General features: G+C 43.4%; 1 long non-coding RNA gene across 1 annotated transcript in view; it reads left to right on the top strand.

The window, feature by feature from the left end:
• The window catches only part of LOC100506446 (uncharacterized), a 43,172-nt gene that overhangs the window by 4,549 nt on the left and 16,455 nt on the right, over positions 1-22,168 (top strand). Inside the window, exons 3-4 of the long non-coding RNA XR_007064156.1 lie at positions 12,167-12,330; positions 14,592-14,732. This is a non-coding gene — a long non-coding RNA (uncharacterized LOC100506446). The remainder of the gene's footprint in view (positions 1-12,166; positions 12,331-14,591; positions 14,733-22,168) is intronic.

The following is a 22,168-nucleotide window of genomic DNA, read 5'->3' as shown; positions in this document are numbered from 1 at the left end:
GGAGCACTTGAGGCCAGGAGTTTGAGACCAGCCTGGCCAACATGGCGAAATCCCATTTCAACTAAAAATACAAAAACTTAGCCAGGCACGGTGGTGCGCATCTGTGGTCTCAGCTACTTGGGAGGCTGAGGAGGGAGGATAGCTTGAGCTCAGTGGACAGAGGTTGCAGAGAACTGAGATCATGCCACTGCACTCCAGCAGCCTGGGTGACAAAGCAAGATCCTGTCTCAAAAAAAAAAAAAAGAAAGAAAAAGAAACAAGCTCCAACAATGCTGTGCCAAGCCATACTGGAGCCTGAGGCAACAGGAAAAGTGTGCACCCCTATTAATAAGTCTTAGTATATTTTTTAATCATTAATATTTCTCCAGGACATTAATGTCATTGAGAAAATACTGAAACTGAAAAGTGGGTATATTAAAACTCATGACATTAAGTTTAAATATTTTTACCCCAAACAGAACTTGTTACTAATTTTACTTTCTTGGCTTTAATGAAAGCACACTTATCACTTACTAGCTTTGTAATCCTGGATGAGTTTCTTAATCTCTCTGTGCCTTGGTTTCCCCTTCTGTAAAAAAGGTAGTGGGGGTGGAAGAACAGTGCTGTCTCACACGATTGTTGTGAAGATTGAGTTATTATGTATTAGGACAGCACCCAGTGCACAGCAAATCCTCTTCAGGTTAAGTTATTTGTTATTGTGTCTTTATTACATAGACAGTGAAGTTTTAGGAGATCAGAGATGCAAGAGATCACTTCCAACCAAGATGAGGTCCTTCCTAGCTGTTGTCACCTACTCTCTGATATTTCACCCCACAGGGACGTGTGCTCACCACTGTATACTCTGGTCTGTAATAGGTCAAGTCCCTTAACTGGCACTCAATAAATATTTACCTATTAGGTGAAAGACAATTGGAAAGTGCTTTCTGGAGAAGATGGCGTTTGAGTTGGCCTTTAATAAATATTAGGGAAAAAATTGGGAAGGCAGAAAAGGTATGATGAGGGAGGGCATTTGAGTTCCCAGCAACACACCTAATGGAGATGTTCATCGGTCATTTGAAAATGTGAGACTAGCACTTCGAAGAGAGATGGAATGAAATTGTAAACATGGGCATAATTCGCATGCTTGTGATAGGAGCATCACATAGACAGATGCCCTCTCCCAGGCAGAGGGTGTGCTCAGAGAATTGGAAAGAACAAAGGACAAGGCTGGATGAGTCTGGAGAGGAACTAGGGAAGACATCTGAGAATTCAGGAGGATCCTCAGGAATTCGGAGCCTCCAAATCATGCAACATCTCCCTGACTCCTAAAACAATTCTCTGAATAAGTAAAAACAATCTCAAGTAAGAGACACAAAGCATTCACGTGTTCATCCTGAAATATTTTATTTTGAAACTTGATGAAGGTTCAAATGAAACATTCAGCAGTTAGTATATATATGTGTATATATATATATGTATATATATGTGTATATATGTGTGTATATATATGTGTGTGTGTGTGTATATATATATATATATATATTTTTTTTTTTTTTTTTTTGAGAGAGAGAGAGTCTTATTCTGTTGCCCAGGCTGGAGTGCAGTGGCATGATCTCGTCTCATTGCAACCCCTGCCTCCCAGGTTCAAATGATTCTCCTGCCTCAGCCTCCCAAGCAGCTGGGACTACAGATGCACGCCACCACGCCCAGCTAATTTTTTCTATTTTCAGTAGAGACAGGGTTTCACCATGTTGGCCAGGCTGGCTTCAAACTCCTGACCTCAAGTGATCCGTCTGCCTCGGTCTCCCAAAGTGCTGGGATTATAGGTGTAAGCCACCGTGCCCGGCCCTCAGCATTTAGTAGAGTATGTTTTAACATCATGTATTTTCTTCTAATTAAACTCCAGAAAAGAAATGTTTCTAATAAGATTAATAAATGACAAAGTCACCAACTGCTTTGAAAAGATAGCAAATCCAACCTCCCACCCATGCCTTCCTTTTAATATGGAATACTTCACATCACTCGTAACTCATACATTGATTATTCTCCAACAATTAATTTTTTAAGCCAGTAATTTGGAAACATCAGAAATGTGGCTTGGTTCACAATCTACCTTGCAAATGCTTAGCTTTCCCACAGTGCCAATGACCACCATTATTAATACTTCTTTATTCCTCTACTTATAACTTGGTTTCTATAACAACCATCACATTAGATGGTTTGCCTGTTTACTTGTTTCCTCTATGAGCTCCTGGGGGGCAAAAGCTGTGCTTTATTTACCTTTGTATCCTCAGCACCTGACAAGCTGACATATGGTAGATACTCAATAAATATATATTAAGTGAATGAATAAATGAATGAATGGAGGCCGGGGGCGGTGGCTCGTGCCTGTAATCCCAGCACTTTGAGAGGCCGAGGCAGGCAGATCACCTGAGGTCGGGAGATTGCGACCAGCCTGACCAACATGGAGAAACCCTGTCTCTACTAAAAATACAAAATTAGCTGGGTGTGGTGGTACATGCCTGTAATCCCAGCTACTCGGGATGCTGAGGCAGGAGAATCACTTGAACCCAGGAGGCAGAGGTTGCAGTGAGCTAAGATTGCACCATTGCACTCCAGCCTGGGCAGCAAGAGCGAAACTCCATCTCAAAAAAAAAAAAAAAAAAAAGAGACCAAAAACAAAACACACACACACACACACAAAAACCTGTGCTTTATTTACCTTTGTATCCTCAGCACCTGACAAACTGATATATGGTAGATACTCAATAAATATATAGTAAGTGAATGAATAAATGAATGAATGGAGACAGAGCGCAGTGGCTCACACCTGTAATCCCAGCACTTTGGGAGGCCGAGGCGGGCAGATCACCTGAGGTCAGGAGTTTGAGACCAGCCTGGCCAACATGGTAAAACTAAGAATACAAAAATACAAAAATTTGCACTACAGCCTAGGCGATAGAGCAAGACTCCGTCCCCCCACCCAAAAAAAGAAGGCTGCTAGGGGCATGCAGTTGGGGCAGGGTATTTGAAGGAGTGTGGATTGGAAAGAGAAGATACCTAAGGCTGTTAGGGGAGGGATAGGGGCTGTTGAAGCAACTATGGAGCCCAGGGAATATGAAGAGGGGCTCAAGTAAAACAGGAGCAGGAAATATATAAAGAATATTTACATGTTGTTTATAAGCTCCTAAGGGATAAGGTGGCATGATATACATTGCTGACTCCCTGCCTGAATTTCCCTTCCTTGGGAAAGCCCAGCTTCATCCCCATGAGGCCATGTGCTCTGGAAGGCCTCCCTGAGTCAAGCCTTGAGTGTATGGTGTTGATTCAATTCTGGCCAATGAGGCATGAAAAGAAATTTGCTGGGGCAGGGAGCATAGTTTGGGAGAAATTCTGTTGCTATCAAGAAGAGACAGGTAAGAGGAAACCTCTCCTTTCCCCTGGCTCAAAATCTTGCCATGATTTGATGCTGGGAAATGCCTTGGTCGTGAGAAGCCACACAGAAGGTTGCAGAGAGGAAAGATGGGCAATATCTGTGGGCTTGGGAGGTCCTCCATGATGTCCCTAAGCCCCTGAATTGGCCAATCCTGGAGCCAACCCACCTCTGGCCTTGTTAAATGGGATGATAAGGCCCTCTCTCATCTAAGCCCATTTGAGCCAGGGTTTCTGTGATTCAAAATCAACAATGGTTATGAGTTTGTGCAGACCCAACTCTCCCTTCCAACTGCCTCTTCTAGGGAGACATCAATTCTACCAGGATCTGGCCTCATATGTGTGGAATGAATTAGGCTTGTAAATTCCCAAAATGTGAATTCTTTGCTGCTTGGAATCAGCATTTATAATGAACAAAAAATTTTTAGCATATGCTTATTTTAAATATATCAGTGAAGTATTAGGCTCACATGCCAACAGAGATACCTCACCAAAGCATCTTGCTATCCAAGTCTATAGCAAGTGGATTCTATTTAAAGCAACAGCTGCAACATGGGACTGAGTAAGAAGCTAGATTGTGGATGATATTCTCTTTCATTTGTAACACAAATATTTGTTTTCAGTGGAGTAGAAGTTTCATATTAATTAGAGATGGAACTGCTGACTTGATTTCCAGAATGCAAACAAGAAATACTCCTCATTCCTGACTTGAAAAAGTTAGGGTGAGAAAAGAGGGAGTGACATTCATACCAGAGTAGCTTAGAAATGAGATCACATCTCTTATGAAACTTTAAGGAGGCTGGGCACGGTGGCTCATGCCTGTAATGCCAGCAGGCCAAGGCGGGTGGATCACTTGAGACCAAGAGTTGGAGACCAGCCTGGCCAACATGGCAAAACACCATCTCTACTAAAAATACAAAAATTAGCCGGGTGTGGTGGTGGGCACTTGTAATCCCAACTAATTGGGAGACTGAGGCAGAGAATCACTTGAACCTGGGAGGTGGAGGTTGCAGTGAGCCAAGATTGTGCCACTGCACTCCAGCCTGGATGACAGAGCAAGACTCCATCTCAAAAAAAAAAAAAAAAAAAAAAGAAAGAAAGAAACTTTAAGGAATCACAGATGATGGTGACACCAAATACAAATTCTACTAATCCTTGTCTTTGGCAGTGGATAGCCTTTCAGAACTTCTGTTTTATTTTTCCCCTCATTAATTTTAGCTGTTGTTGACAAGACTTTTAAAAAATTGCTTATTTTTTAAAAATTTTCCTTCCATCCTATGTAGTGACCCATCTCCCTTCTCCCATTTGAACAAGGAACAGGCTCTGTGCATCTTTGCCTCAAAGGAGGTTTGTAGCAAGGCAGAAAGCAAAAGCTGCCTGCAGGACATTTTCCTTCTTGAATTTTGTTTTCACAAGCTTAAGCTATTAATTAACTTATTAGGTAGTTATAGGGAATCCTGTAAGGGAACTATGAAGAAAGTGGGATGTTCATCAGGCTAACAGATTCCTGGAAACAAGGAGGGACAGAAATCTATAGATTCCTCAAGTATCTGGGACTAGAGTCCTCCCCACTAAGTGGACTAATCATGCCTTAGGGAGGTGATCAAATCTTCAAAGGCTTTGTTTTGTGGCACACCTAGGGAGACAGAGGTCTAGGGAACAGCCTTGCTAGAGATTCCCATGCTTCAAACACTGCAGGGGGAGAAACAGAGCTACTAGGTTTGAAGGGACCACACTGGCCAGGACAATGGATGTTTCAGCAGCCACCAATCCAGTCTGGTGACTGATGCCCAGAGGGCCTCCCCACATGCTGGCACTAGAGACACTGGGTTTCCAAACAACTTTTGGGGTGAGGAGGTTCTGGGGGAAGTCAAGTGTGCCTGGGAATATATTTCCTTCTTGCTAGGTAGGAAAAGGTAAAGTTGAAATTAAGTTGATTTAAATACATGAAGAAACTCACCATCTCTTGCCACCTAGGTTTGTGGCTTGGGCTTCATACCTACAAACATTGACTATTTGGAGTCCATACTCAGTGGAATTTCTCTCTACATCAAATTAGTTGGGTCCACTTGGGAAACATGCTGGAAACCCTAGACTCTAGATTGGTCTTAAAATCTCTAAGTACAGCTCCTTTCACATAGAGGGACATACCATGCTTGCTGCCAGACCATTCTAAGTAGACTCCAACTAGCAACACTGGAAACATCTCTTTAGATTTGAGGATAGGAACATCAGATGGCCCAATATAATTCTTGGTTGCAAGCAACAGAAACCAGCCCTGACTAATTTGATTTAAGCTGGAATGTATTAGAAGGATACTGAATAGTTCACAAGATGGATGGGAGGGCTAGAGAACAAGGATCAGGAAAATGGCTGGAAACCAAGAGAGAATGGGCACGGAGGAGCATGGCCCAGGTCATTCCACAGGACAGTCTGCCCCTGCCAGCACCTCACTGCTGCCCACAGATGACACTGCCACCACTAGCGTCCTCTGAACTATTTTTCACCCTCTGCTTCTTCCCTTGATATTCAAGGTCCAGAAAGGAGGCTCTGACTGGCTGAGCTTGAGTCCTGCACCATTCCCTGGAGGTCCCTGAATAGAGGGAGGGGGTTGGCCGTGAACACAATGTAGAATACTGTGTCACACCAAAACTGTGATTGGAAGAAGGGAAGCTGAACAAAAAATAAACACACTTAACAAATGTCCACCACATTCCCAACCACTTAAGGAGAAGAAAAAAGCGTTAAAGTCTTGAAAACTCCAGCTTTCAGTTAACTACCTTGTAAAGGTACTCACCTATTTCCCAGGATCAAGCCCTATAAAAGTTTTATGCAAGCTCATAATTTCACTCTCAAATGAATTTGTAACCCATGACCCTGATTCCTGCCCAGTACTTGGCCCTGCCCATTGGCCCTGGATTGCTTTCTCTGATTAGATTTCTATAGCAATTCCCCAGGCTCAGGGACCAAAAGACTTGCCAGGCACTTAAGTTTGAACAACCTTTTGCACTTCATCTCTCACTCTTACCTCCACCCTGAGGCACATGGGTGCTGTTGGCTCCCTGGTGAAGTTAAGAGGGAAGATAAACTTAAGGACCACAGATTTAGAAGGCTATTTTCATCTCCCCACTTATAGGCAGAACTACATTCTCAGAAAAACAGAAGTATGGCCTATTTTTTAAGCTCTTCAGAAGTGGGAAAATACTATTCTCGATACATCCAACAGAAAATAAGACACAAGCTGTGTTTGAAGATTCAGTAGAAAACAGAGAACACTTGATAAAAACAGGGGAAAAAAACATGTTCATAGACTGTCTCCAAATCTGCTCAAGTGTACAGGAGGAAGATACGTCCAAAGGATCATGACAATGGTGGGGACACATCACCCCACATCTGTGATTGCTCCTTGCTGCTTCTCCAGCTTTGGGTGATGAGTGTGGTGAACAGATACAGCCTGTGGCATAGGTCCAGGCAGGAAAGGGGTCTTCTCTTACATCTGGTAGCACTGGAGTAGGGGGAGCCTTGGGATCTGTGTCTCGCAAAAGCATCTCCTTTCTTCTGGAGGTTTTTCAGGATCCAGGAATGATAGAGGAGACAGATGCTCTGGAAAGGGAAATACTAGGTGAGATCTAAGGGCACATTCCAACCTGCCATTTGTGCAACAGGAAGTGACACAAAGTCTTAGAAAGTATTTATAAGCCATAAATGACCACTAAAAGCTGGTTAGCTAATTTTCTTTTAAAAGGAAAATGTTGGGGAATTTTAAGTAAAGGCAAAATCTTTCCAATGCTTCTTGTTTTAATTTTCCTTAACTTTTTCACTTAGCTTGATCTGTATTTAAGGGTCTCATGTTGTTAGTTCAGCCAAAGGAAGTGCAAAATCCTCCAGGCTGTACTACTGTTGGCCATCCCCAGCCTGTGTGTAACTGAACATGCCCATTAGCAGGATCTTGGGAGCCACAGTACCAGTGCCCTCAAAGTTGGCCAGTGGCCAGCAATAAACAGGTTCTGGCTGGTCATACCTGAGGTTTGGAAAGCTACTTTGTACCCAACCCTGAGGAGCGGTGTGGAGCCAGGACAAGAACAGGCAAGCTCCTGCAGAATTCTGTGCCCGTGTAGGGTGAGCCTGCTCCACATTATGCTCTGAAATGGGAAACCTGGGGCAAAGGTAAGACATCTCAAAGGAAAATAGAGCAAAATTTTAAATTCTGAGGGCTCCTCTGCACTGCAGAAGCCGACATCCCCTCCCATGTCCCCTCCCTCATGGCCAATCACTCTGCTAAGGTGTTTCTGCCTCATTTAGTGCAAGCATAATAAAATAGAAGAGGAAAGTGAAACTACACATATGTCTCTTTTTCCATCAGAGGTGAAGCTAAAGTATATAGCATTTATAAAGATTATATAAAATATAAATAGAGTATATAATATTTAAGTTCCTTACAACATTTTCCTGAATATGATTGACAATGGCTACAGAACTTGGAATGGGGATTTTGTGTGACTCACATTTCTTTCTTTCCGTTCCTTAACTGTCACACTCACTCCATAATAAAAGGCTTTCAGACATATTATTACATCAGGAACACTAACAGTTCTCAGGGGACCTCCCTACCCCAAGGAGTTCTCACTCTCTCTCCATAGAAGATACAACATTCTCAAAGAGTGAGTCAACTTATCAGGTTAGTTAAGGTATAAATTACTCAGCCATCAATCTTCACATCAATAAAACCTGCATAGGTTGGCATAGATTTACTATATTAGACCAAGAGACACATCTGAAGGCAAACTCTTAGCTGGTCAGAAATTCCCAGGGTGAGTTTTCCAAGCAGGACTGAGACCTTAGCATTTGCATGACTTTTGGTATAAGCTGTTGGCTCTTACACGTTATGTTTCTTGGGTTCAGAAGAAAGTGAAAAATGACTTAGATTCCAAAATGGAAATGTATCCCAACATTTTGGGAGGCCGAGGCCGGCGGATCACCTGAGGTCAAGATTCAAGACCAGCCTGGCCAACATGGTGAAACCCCGTCTCTACTAAAAAATACAAAAATTAGCTGGGCATGGTGGAGGGCGCCTGTAACCCCAGCTACTCAGGAGGCTGAAGCACGAAAATTGCTTGCACCCAGGAGGCAAGTTTGCAGTGAGCCGAGATCGTGCCACTGCACTCCAGCTTGGGTAACAGAGCAAGACTCTGTCTAAAAAAAAAAAAAAGAAATGTAATATATGGGGTCCACAAAAGCTAGGTGCATCATATATTTTAATTTCTAAAGATGCTCCCAAACTCCTTTCACACTCAGGCGGTGACCCAGCCTTTTGCTTCATTGAGAAAGAAGAGGGCATCAGGATAACTCTCTCACCATTTTTCTATCTCCCAACTTACATTTTTTCTTTTTCCATTATTTATTTATTTATTTATTTATTTTATGAGACAGAGTCTCATCACTCTTGAGTTCAGTGGCGCAATCTTGGCTCACTGCAGCTTCAACCTCCTGGGCTCAAGCGACCCTCCCATATCAGCTTCCCAGATAGCTGGGACTACAGGCATGTGCCACCACACCCAGCTAATTTTTTTTTTTTTTTTTTTTTGAGATGGAGTCTCGCTCTGTCGCCCAGGCTGGAGTGCAATGGCATGATCTCAGCTCACTGCAACCTCTGCCTCCCGAGTTCAAGCAATTCTCCTGCCTCCTGCCTCAGCCTCCCAAGTAACTGGGATTACAGGCACCTGCCACCCCGCACAGCTATTTGTTGTATTTTTAGTAGAGACAGGGTTTCACCATCTTGGTCAGGCTGGTCTCGAACTCCTGACCTCAGGTTGATCCACCTGCCTAGGCCTCCCAAAGTGCTGGGATTACAGGTGTGAGCCACCGTGCCCAGCCCAGCTTATATTTTCACTTGCATTCTTTGTTCCAGCTGAAGGAATGTGTACCCTCCTCCTAGACTCACCACTGCTCTCCTGATGCTATCCCCACATCCCTGAAACCTCAAGCCATCGATAGGCCCCACTCCCTTCTTTCTCTGTTCTTTCCCTTGTTACAAATCTCCCTCTTCCTTTTCTCCCTAAGAAACATGGTCAACACTCCATCATGAAAAACTGCTCAGTCTACTCACCTTCTCACTGACAATCTCCCTGAGCAGCTATTTGTGCCTCAACCCACTGGAGTGTGGCTTTCAGTTGCTCCACTCCACAGAATTGTTCTTTTTTTTTTTTGAGATGGAGTCTCACTGTGTCACCCAAGCTGGAGTGCAGTGACGTGATCTCAGCTCACTGAAACCTCCACCTCCCAGGTTCAAGCGATTCTCCTGCCTCAGCCTCCCGAGTAGCTAGGATTACAAGCGCCCATCACCATGCCCCACTAATTTTTGTATTTTTAATAAAGATGGTGTTTCACCATGTTGGCTAGGCTGGTCTCGAACTCCTGACTTCAAATGATCTGCCCGCCTCAGACTATCAAAGTGCTGGAATTACAGGCATGAGCCACCACACCCAGCCTCACAAAATTGCTTTTTGAGGCCAGTGACTGCTTGATGGCCAGACTCTTATCTCAACCTTGGCCTTGACTTCCAAAACAGCGCTCTTCCCCAAATCTCCTGTTTCTATGACCACTCACATCATCTTTCTCTACCCAGCCCTTAATATCAACCTTTTTCAACTTATGCTTCCTCCTTTGGATGTTACATCTATTCTCACAGTTTCACATATTACTTATAAGCTAGTAATTCCAAATATTTATCTCTAGCCCTGAACTGTCTTCTGAGTCCCGGACCATCTCCAAGTGCATTTTGGCCATATCCACCTGGGTGTCCCAGAGGGCCCCTAAATAAAGAAGTCTAAATCCAAACTCATCCACTGTCTTGTCTCATCTCTAACCCCTCACTCCCCATCCCTAGAAAATGTCTGCATTTTATCTACCTAAAAGTTATTTTCAAATATCAGAAATTCTATAATCACAAAAAGACTGCAGTTACAGTAAATAACCCCAAAGATATAGAGTAATACAGGGAAAATCTATGATACCCATGAAAACAAACAAGCAAAAACACTCAAGAATAACCTAAAGATTATTTACTAGAGAAACTCCAAAGAAGTAGAGAAAAACATGTTATAATAGGGAAGTAAAATGGTATCTTAGAGACAACTGGTGAAGACCAGACATGCCTAACAATTAAGAAATAATTAACTGATGGTGTTTGCTTGCATTTAATTTGCTTAGGTTTACCATTTCCAATTGAAAAGATCAAAGGATGTCATTACCTTGAATATGGTATTATTGTTGAAAAGTGGATTTGCCTGTTGGATCTGCCCAACACAGCAGGAAAGTGTACATCCAGAAGAGAACATGTGATTTGCAGCTTTCCATGCTCACTTATGGCAAGGGCCTTACCAAAGGCAGACACCACAGTAAGCAAGCGTTAGAGGTACCAAGAAAAAAAGCCAGGACAAGATGTTTGTTAAGAAGCTTCACGTGGCCAGTCACGGTGGCTCATACCTGTAATCCCAACACTTTGGGAGGTCAAGGCAGGAGGATTGCTTGAGCCCAGGAGTTTGAGATCAGCCTGGGCAACATAGCAAGATGTCATCTCTATTCTACAAAAAAAAAAGGAATTTTTGTTTTAAAAAGAACCTTCACTCATTTCATGTGCCAAACAAAATCACACACATCACAAATAATGGTCATTTTCTACAAATGACTCCAAGATAGAAGATAACTGAATTCTAATCAATATTCTGCACTTCCTGGCTCTAATGTACGTATTATTCACTGATCTTTGGCAAATGACTTAAGTTTTCTGAGACTATTTCCAGGTCTAAAAAAGGACTGTCTCACAGTTAAAAATCACTTGACAAAATCAAGCTCAAGAGAGATGGTTAAATGTTTGAAATCTCCAGTCCTGCCAACTGACTTGTAGAATATTCAAATATAACTTTCCAGTTGCCAAAAATTGGAATAATGTTAGCTTACATTTCTAGGAAATGTCAGATGAGGCAATTTGGAAAATCCACCTGCTGTGCCTAAGCCTGAATCGAACACAATAAATGGTCCATTTTTCTCTGGAATTTGAGTTCTACTGAATTAATCTTTTTACAAGACGGAAACCTGAAAGTAAACATAATGAATCACTCTTCCCACCACGCCTGCTTGTCTTGGTGCTAGCAGCAGTTCCCTGCTTTCTTTGCAACACGGCTCTAGCAAGGAGCCGAGCATCTGAAGCAAAGTGTGATCAACAGATGCTCGTTTCCATAATTGGCACTTTTCCAATAACCAACCCCAAATTTAATTAGCCACTTATCTGAAGCAGAAAAGGATTTCTAAAGCATTCTAGTAATCTGTGCTATTTCTCTCCACTGGTTCATGCCCCAGCCCCACAGGCCTCCTCACTCAGAAGTCTTTGAAGGACGCATGTCAAGCACAGGATGTGTGCTTTTTCCTACTGTAAACAAGCAAGTCTCTAAAAATATTCATGAGATTTTTCTACTAGGGAAAAAGAATAATATTCCACTGAACTGAAGACCACATATGAAACAGGGGAAGGACGCTGGAAATAAAGCTCCATACATAGCTCGGTACTAGTAGATCAGCATGTTAACTAGGTTAATTCCCAACTGTCCTACCACCAACTACCTAGCACGAGGCTCTCAACAACCTGCAGCCAGATCCCAGGTGGTCCCAATGGCTACATTCATTGAATACAGCCTGAGCAATACTCTCACTCCACTCTTCACTCAGCTGACCCTGTATTCTGTGAATTCTGCCCTAGCTCCAAACCTCTTGGTACAAAGGAACTCTCTACGTTTAGTTCTCTCGACAACTACCTACTATAAGATGAAGTTTCCAGGAACTCATGTGATCATGAGACTCTGCAGTCACTTCAGGGGGTCTTGTTGACTGGCTCGGGGGGCTGGTGTCAAGCCCAAGCAGAAGGTATGTTTGCCCATGGGGTGTTGGCAGATGGTTGGGAAGTTAGGCAGAGCATTACCTACTGTGGATATGTCCTTGCTCCTGCTCAGCCTCCTCTGCCCTGTCTTTGGGAGCAGAACTCCTCTGGGTGGTGGCGAGCCAATCCCATGTGATTTAGCTAGCCGATCCTGCCCAGTGCACCCCAATCCCACCAAGGCCACAGTGACTGGGAGAAGGTTGGACCGTGACCCAGATTAGGCCAGACACCTCTCTGAAAGCTACTGGGGTTCTCAGAAAAAGCTTTCTCCCTGGTCACTGAGTCTTAACTCACTACTTGAGAGAAACTACCAGGAGAAAGGGGGCAGGGGAAGGAGGGCTTCCCTGACCACACCATCTGAGTCCTGAATCCAGCCCTACCCGGAGCCAAGATTAGCCTGAATTTCACTTACGTGAGCTAAGCAAGTCCCATTTTTGCTTAAGCTACAGAGGATGTGGTTCTTTCTCTGAAAGTTTCCCCCCACTAATAAACACTTAACCTCATCCCCTCCCTAGTTGTTATCCAAGTTATTTAGATGATTATCTTCCTTCCTTGTGTGGTTTTTGCCTAAAATTCTCCATGTCCTCCCAGTCATTCCTGACCCCTCCAGCCCTTTAAACTCAGGTCAAAGTTTAACTCTTAAAGGGACATTTCTCATATTAACCCACAGCTTCCAAAGTCCTAGAGTCTTCAATGTGTGTACATATGAATACATTCTCATATCATATGCTAAGTGCTATTCCTTAGTCTAGTCTCATTCCTGCTGTTCTGTAACCAAAAGGCAAAAAAAAAAAAAAAAAAATCCTTGCTGAAAGAAGTGAGAATTCTCATTTTAAAGTGTCTTACTGATTTAAAAAAGAAAAAGGGGGGCACTCAATGTGAGATACAGCAAAGATCCAAGATGTGTGTATGTGTTTTTTAACAAATGGCAGTATGCATTTGGATGCTTATTGTGTGCCAGGCAGTGTGCTAAGCACCTTATGCACATTTTTTTTTTTTGAGACAAGTCTTGTTCTGTTGCCCAGGCTGGAGTGCAGTGGCACGATCTTGGCTCACTGCAATTTCTGCCTTCTGGGTTCCAGCGATTCTTCTGCTTCAGCTTCTCAAGTAGCTGGGATTACAGGCACCCACCACAACGCTCGGCTAATTTTTGTATTTTAATAGAAACGGGGTTTCACCATGTTGGCCAGGCTGGCCTCGAACTCCTGACCTCAAGTTATCTGCCCACCTCAGCCTCCCAAAGTGCTGGGATTACAGGCGTGAGCCACTGCACCCAGCCACATTTTTTCATTAATCTTTCCAACCTCTGTGCTAGGTACCATTATTCTAAATTAAAAAAAAAAAAACAAAAAACCAAAAACTCATACTAAGGCTTTCAGAGTTTATGGAATCTGCTCAAGGTCACACAGCTGGTAAATGCAGGAGCTGGACTGAGTCCAGAGGCCACTCTTACCATCCCCCACTCCCACCCACAGACCAGGCAGTGGCCTTCTTGGAGCACCCAGTGAGGCTTTCCTTGGAGTTACCCCTGCATATGAAAGTCATATTAGTAGGTCAGCATTTTAACTGGGTTAACTATCACTCTTCTACCATGACCCACCCAGCATAGGACTCCCTCTACCCAGCAGCTGGATGGATCCCAGGTGGTCCCAGTGTCTGTATTCATTGAACACCGCCATTTCAGTATTAAATTAGTCATTTTATTAATAGTATTAATATCCTTTTTATTTATTTATTTATTTATTTTTTGAGATAGAGTCTCACTTTGTCACCCAGGCTAGAGTGCAGTGGCTCGATCTTGGCTCATGGCAACCTCCGCCTCCCGGGTTCAAACGATTCCTGTGCCTCAGTCGGGTGCCACCACACCTGGCTAATTTTTGTATTTTTAGTAGAGACAGGGTTTCACCATGTTGGCCAGGCTGGTCTTAAACTCCGGACCTCAGGTGATCCACTTGCCTCGACCTCCCAAAGTGCTGGAATTACAGGCATGAGCCACCGTGCCCAGCCTAATATCCATTTTGGACATAAATGAAATATGCTTGGTTATTTTATTTCCTGGTTCACAGCAATTCTAAGGTAATAAAAACTTAGAAGTGACTGTGAGATGGGGGCTGTCCCTAGAAAACAGTAATAAATGACTAGTAGAGTTAGAAGGAGCTGAAAATCTGTTAAAGCAAGATGTGGGAACTCGAGACATGCCCAAGTTCACCCATCTCATGACCCTTCCTTCACTGCCTGATTCACAAAGAGCCCTCAGAGCAAGCAGCCCTGCTTCTGTGGATGCTGGATGGCATCATCACCAGGCGGGTCCTTCAGAGTACTGGGAGCAGCATGCAGCCCGATAGAGTTGGCAAACGTGAATCTACTAGAAGATTGACATGGAGATCGAGTAGGTATTCTTTTTATTAATATTCCGTCATCAAACTGTCTTTACAAATATCTACCTTCATTTTGGCTCTTCCCTAGGTGGTAACTAATACATCTGACTAGTAAATCATGTCTAATATATAGGACTTCATAATGTGTTACATAGCGCTTGATGCTCAAATGCAAACGTCCTGTTTTTTTGGGTTTTTTGTTGTTGTTGTTGTTGTTGTTGTTGTTGTTTTTAAGAGACAGTGTCTTCACTCTGTCACCCAGGCTAAGCTGGAATGCAGGGGGCCAACCATAGCTCACTGTACCCTTGAATGCCTGGGCTCAAGTGATCCTCCCACCTCAGCCTCCCAAGTAGATGGGATTACAGGCACTAGCCACTGCGCCCAGCTGTATTAGTCTATTTTCACACTGCTGATAAAGACATACCAGAGACTGGGCAATTTACAAAAGAAAGAGGTTTATTGGACTTACAGTTCCACCTGGCTGGGGAGGCCTCATAATCATGGAGGAAGGCAAGGAGGAGCAAGTCATATCTTACATGGATGGCAGCAGGCAAAGAGAGAGAACTTGTGCAGGGGAGCTCCTCTTTATAAAACTATCAGATCTCATGAGACTTATTCACTATCACAAGAACAGCACAGGAAAGGCTTGTCCCCATGATTCAATTATCTCCCACTTGGTCCCCCCACAACACATGGGAATTCAAGATGAGATTTGGGTGGGGACACAGCCAAACCATATAACCAGCTGATGCTCAAATGTTTTTATTACATAAGTAATACATTTTAGCTCTTTCTGTGATGAACCAATTGTATATCCTTATTTTAAACACTGTCTAGTTTGTAAATGTTTTGTTTTAGGCATTATGCCAGAGAAATTGTTCCCTGAAATGAAAATGTTTTATTTGTAGAAGCGTATCACAGTCTCTTCATCAGAATCTGATACTTTTATTTATGCACAAATCCAAGCAGGTTAGAATTTGAATAAGAATAGGGAGAGCATTTTTGAAACAGGTACACTGACTTGGGCAAGAGGTGAGAAAAAGTGAAGGAGAGAGAAAAATCTATATCAAAAGTAGGCATACCAAAAGAAACAGCTGAAAGTTGAAAACATTTCTCAGAAGAGAAGGAAATCTCCCCATATTGCCCCCCTCCATTTCTATTCCACAGGAGTGAAAGGGTGACATTTTTGGATCAAACTTTGTAGAAGCATGGCAGCCAGCCTCTAGGAGGGCCCCTAAGATGACTCTTGTCTGGTGGCCTTCATGCTCTTGTGTAGACCCCTCCCAGTAGAAATAGGCCTGACCTGTGTAACTGATAGGATATTGTGGAAATGATGAAGTGTGACTTCCAAGGCTAGTTAATAAAAGACATTGCAGTTTCTGCCTTTGGATCTGTCTTGGATCATTTGATCTGAGGGAAGCCAGTTGGCATGTCATGAAGACATACAAGCAACCCCATGAAGAGGCCCACGTGGTGAGGAACTGAGGCCTCCTGCCAACATCCAGCAGCAACTTACCAACAGTGAGAGTGAACCACTTAGGAACCGGATCCTTCAGTTCCAGTCAAGCCTTCAGATGTCTGCAACCCTGGACAACATCTTGACTGCAACTTCATGAAAGACCCTGAGGGAGCCCCAAACCACCTAAGATTGCCCCAAATTCTTGACCCACAAACTATGAGATAACAAATATTCATCATTGGCTGGGCATGGTGGCTTATACCTGCAATCCCAGCACTTTGGGAGGCCAAGGTGGGTGAATCACTTGAGGCCAGGAGTTCGAAACCAGCCTGGCCAATGTGGTAAAACCCTTTCTCTACAAAAAATACAAAAAAAAAAAAAAAAAAAGAAAAAAAAAAAAAGCCAGATATGGTGCCAGACATGTAATACCAGCTACTTGGGAGGCTGAGGTGGGAGAATCGCTTGAACCCAGGAGGTAGAGCTTGCAGTGAGCTGAGATAGCGCCACTGCACTTCAGCCTGGGTGACAAAGTGAGATCCTGTCTCAAAAAAATATATATATATATTAATATTTTCACATAGTTTCTGGAATCTTTAACCAATATCAAAATTCAAGACTATGGACAAGATGATGAGTCATAAGGCCAGTTTGTATAACCATAGGATGCAAGGACCAAACTTCTTTAGATCTTGTTCTAACACACAGTTACTTAAGTCCAAAGAGGACAATGAAATGAGGACTTTCTCATTCAGTCTGTCAGTCCTATATGTGATGTTTTAGGTTTGCTTCAGCCTAGCCCAGAATGCATCTTGTAAAGGTTATATGTGTGTTGATGGTATACATACATGCTTGTATGTCCATGCATTGGAGGGAAGAGATTAGGGTTTAAAAGTATAAAGCTAATATGTTTATTAAGGAAAATTAAAACACAAGTAGAAAAAAATAAAATAAAACCCTTTTTCAAAAGCATGTAATAAAAAGCAAAAACCTAACAGAACTTCAGTTCACATTGTTATTTACTTCCTTCTCATCTTTTTGCCTCCCCAGGCAGACTTGTTTTGTAAGTACTAGGAGTTCTTGACAATGTTGAAGAATGAATCAGTGGTCAAACCTAGCCTTGGCAATCCTAGCAAAAGTTCCTTGACTACATTTTTTTTTCTAAAGATTCATTCTCAAAGATACAGAAACAACAGCTATAAAAATGCATGTACATATAATAAATATGTATTAATTGAGCTTTTGTAAAATACTTAACAAGCATTTTTCAGTACTTCCTGTGTACACCACACCAGAGCAGCTGTTTCCGGGAATCCTAAAGAAGATAGTTTCCACCCTTAAAATGTAAATCATATTTTATACTGCTACTCAGCTAACATCAGAACTCATTTGTTTTATTGTAAGTGGCCATTTTTTAAATAATTTGATATAATTGATGATTTTCTAAAAATTTAAATCCTCCCTTATTCTATAATCCCTAGAGACCCTGAACAGAATCTGTATTCATTTTTTAAAATCTCAGTATTTCTAGTTTTCACCTCATTGCTGGAGGCAGGAAATACCAAGCTAGCTAAAATAGAATTAGGTCAGATCCCTGTCTTCAGCTAATCATGAGAAAAACTAAGATTAGTTGAAGGTCTACTTTATATCTAAGATTTTACATAGATTTAATCCTCACAACAGCCTTGAAGGAAATATTATCCCCATTTTACAAATGGAGAAAATGAGGTTCAGAGAGGTTAAGTCACTTTTCTACGATCACCTAACTCCTAAGTCTTAGAACCTGGATTGGAAGCTCAGTCTATAACTCCAAAGCCTTTTTTCTTTTCACAGCACCATCCTATTTATTAAACAGCGCTCTTACTTTCCACTTGATTTCCCAGGCCTCCTCTTACCCACACAAAAATAGCTTTACATAACTTTGTTCTCTCACAAGGAAATGGAAATATCTCTTCACGGGTGACTGGCTGAGGTGTGTGGGAAGGGGTTGGGAATATGAAGGGAATGACCGACAAGGCTGCTGGACCTCAGCCTCTGTGTTACAGGCAGAGGTGGAAACCAAGCACTTTGCCCAGAACTTTTGTTGGAAGTCATATCTTCTTCCTAGTGAAAAGTTTTACTCATTCACAAGAGCTAAAATATTCATGGAACACACCACACCAGATAGAGTAACTTTATCCTATTATTTAATCTTGTTCGTTTCCTTCTGAAGGCTTATTTCCTGAGCCAGCAATTTTTATTCACTTACAGAGTCACCAGTCAACTTATTCCTAACAAAACCTTTTTGCTTCTTGGTGCTCAGTACGTTACCCTTCCTTCTCCATAGTTGGAATGAGGGGTTTAAACATTCTTACTCTGAAAGGTTATCATTAGCTATTCAGATTCAACTGGTGGTCACAGAACACCCACGTATCAGACACAGTGCTTGGAGACTTCAGGTACCTTATCTCTTGAATGGAAGCTCCTGTCTGGTAGATACTGAAGTTCAAGCTTCGAGTTCCTCCTTTACACACAAGTTATCCAGTCAGTGATTTATTTTAACGGTTTTTTCTTTTCTCTCTTTTTTTTTTTGAGATAGAATCTCACTGTATTGCCCAGGCTGGAGTCTAATGGTGCCATCTCGGCTCACTGCAGCTTCCGCCTCCCAGGTTCAAGCGATTCTCATGCTTCAGCCTCCTGAGTAGCTGGGATTACAGGAGCACGCCACCATGTCTGGCTAATTTTTGTATTTTTAGTAGAGATGGGGTATCATCACATGTATTAGTGTGTTTTCAAACTACTGATAAAGACATACCCGAGACTGGGCAATTTACAAAAGAAAGAGGTTTAATTGGACTTAGAGTTCCACATGGCTGGTGAAGCCTCACAATCATGGCAGAAGGCAAGGAGGAGCAAGTCATGTCTTACATGGATGGCAGCAGGCAAAGAGAGAAAACTTGTGTGGGGGAGCTCCTCTTTTTTTTTTTTTTTTTTTTTCCTTCAAGACAGAGTTGTACTCTTGTCTCCCAAGCTGCAGTGCAGTGGTGTGATCTCAGCTCACTGCAACCTCCACCTCCCAGGTTCAAGTAATTCTCATGCCTCAGCCCCCCAAGTAGCTGGGATTACAGGCACCTGCCACCATGCCTGGCTAATTTTTGTATTTTTAGTAGATACGGGGTTTCGCCATGTTGGCCAGGCTGGTCTCAAACTCCTGACCTCAAGTGATCTGCCTGCCTCGGCCTCCCAAACTGCTGGGATTACAGGCCTGAGCCACCATGCCCAGCCATGGAACTCCTCTTTTTAAAACTATCAGATCTTGGCCAGGTGTGGTGGCTCACACCTGTAATCCCAGCACTTTGGGAGGCCAAGGTGGGCGGATCACGAGGTCAGGAGATCAAGACCATCCTGGCTAACACGGTGAAACCCCATCTCTACTAGAATTAGCCAGGCATGGTGGCAGGCACCTGTAGTCCCAGCTACTTGGGAGGCTGAGGGAGGAGAATGGCTTGAACCCAGGAGGCGGAGCTTGCAGTGAGCCAAGATGGTGCCACTGCACTTCAGCCTGGGTGACAGAGCGAGACTCCGTCTCAAAAAACAGTCAAACAAACAAACAGACAAACAAAAAACCTATCAGATCTCATGAGACTTATTCACTATCATCAGAACAGCACGGGAAAGATTTGCCCCATGATTCAATTAACTCCCACCAGGTCCCTTCCCCAACACATGGGAATTCAAGATGACATTTGGGTGGGGACATAGCCAAACCATATCATTCTGCCCCTGGCCCCGCCCAGATCTTATGTCCTTACATTTCAAAACCAATCATGCATTTTCAACAGTCCCCCAAAGTCTTACTTCAGCATTGACTCAAAAGTCCACAGTCCAGGCCAGGCATGGTGGCTCACACGTGTAATCCCAGCACTTTGGGAGGCTGAGGCAGGTGGATCACCTGAGGTCAGGAGGCCGAGACCATCCTGGCCAACATGGTAAAACCCCATCTCTACTAAAAATACAAAAATTAGCTAAGCATGGTGGCACGTGCCTGTAATCCCAGCTACTCAGGAGGCTGAGGCAGCAGAACCACTTGGACCTAGGAGGCAGAGGTTGCAGTGAGCTGAGAATAGGCCATTGCACTCCAGCCTGGGTGACAGAGCAAGACATTGTCTCAAAAAAAAAAAAAGAAAGTCCACATCCAAAGTCTCATCTGAGACAAGGCAAATCCCTTCCACCTATGAGCCTGTAAAATCAAAACCAGGTTAGTTACTTCCTAGGTACAATGGGGGTATGGGCATTAGGTAAATACAGCCATTCCAAGTGGGAGAAATTGTCCAAAACAAAGGGGCTACAGGCCCTATGCAAGTCCAAAATCCACCAGGGCAGTCAAATCTTAAAGTTCCAAAATGATCTCCTTTGACTTCATGTCTCACATCCAGGTCATGCTGATGCAAGAGGTGAGTTCCATGGTCTTGGAAGGCTCCGCCCCTGCGGCTTTGCAGGGTACAGCCTCCCTCCTGGCTGCTTTCATGGACTGGCATTGAGCATACATGGTTTTTCCAGGTGTACGGTGCAAGCTGTCAGTGGATCTACCATTCTGGTGTTTGGAGGATGGTGGCCCTCTTTTCACAGCTCCACTACATGATGCCCCAGTAGGAACTCTGTGTGGGGGCTCTGACCCCACATTTCCCTTCTGCACTGCCCTAGCAGAGGTTCTCCATGAGAGCCTCGCCCCTGCAGCAAACTTCTGCCTGGACAGCCAGGTGTTTCCATATATCTTCTGAAATCTAGGCAGCAGTTCCCAAACCTCAATTCTTGACTTTTCAACACCAAGTGGAAGCTGCCTAGATTTGAGGCTTACACCTTCTGAAGCCATGCCTGGGCTCTACATTGGCCCCTTTCAGCCATTGGCTGGAGTGGCTGGGATGCAGGGCACCAGGTCCCTAGGCTGCACACAGCATGGGGACCCTGGGGCTGGCCCACGAAACCACTTTTTCCTCTTAGGCCTCCAGGCCTGTGATGGGAGGGTTGCTGTGAAGTCCTCTGACATGCCCTGGAGACATTTTCCCCATTGTCTTGGGGATTAACATTGTTAATCTTCTTGTTACTTATACAAATTTCTACAGCTGGATTGAATTTCTCCTCAGAAAAATGGGATTTTCTTTTCTATCGCATTGTCAGGCTGCAAATTTTCCAAACGTTTATGCTCTGCTTCCCTTCTAAAACTGAATGCCTTTAACAGCACCCAAGTCACCTTTTGAATCCTTTGCTGTTTAGAAATTTCTTCCATCAGATACGCTAAGTCATCTCTCTCGAGTTCAAAGTTCCACAAATCTCTAGGGCAGGGACAAAATGCTGCCAGTCTCTTTGCTAAAACATAACAAGAGTCACCTTTGCTCCAATTCCCAACCAGTTCTTCATCTCCATCTGAGACCATCTCGGCCTGGACCTTATTGTTCATATCACTATCAGCATTTTTGTCAAAGCCATTCAACATCTCTCTAGGAAGTTCCAAACTTTCCCACATTTTCCTGTCTGCTTCTGAGCTCTCCAAACGGTACCAACCTCTGCCTATTACCCAGTTCCAAAGTTGCTTCCACATTTTCAGGTAACTTTTCAGCAGTGCCCCACTCTACTGTTACCAATTTACTATATTAGTCCATTTTCATGCTGCTGATAAAGACATACCTGAGACTGTACAATTTACAAAAGAAAGAGGTTTAATTGGACTCACAGTTCCATGTGGCTGGGAAAGCCTCACAATCATGGCGGAAGGCAAGGAAGAGGGAGTCACATCTTACATGGATGGTGGCAGGCAAAGAGAGAACTTGTGCAGGGGAACTCCTCTTTTTTAAAAAACCATCAGATCTCATGAGACTTATTCATTATCATGAGAACAGCACAGGAAAGACTTTCCCCTATGATTCAATTACCTCCTACCAGGTCCCTCCCACAACACGTGGGAATTTGAGATGAGATTTGGGTGGGGACACAGCCAAACCATATCACCATGTT

This window comes from Homo sapiens, chromosome 14, assembly GCF_000001405.40.
Source record: "Homo sapiens chromosome 14, GRCh38.p14 Primary Assembly".
Lineage (NCBI taxonomy): Eukaryota > Metazoa > Chordata > Mammalia > Primates > Hominidae > Homo > Homo sapiens.
Note: the sequence above shows the minus strand (reverse complement) of the source record. Positions and strands in the feature narration are given on the sequence as shown.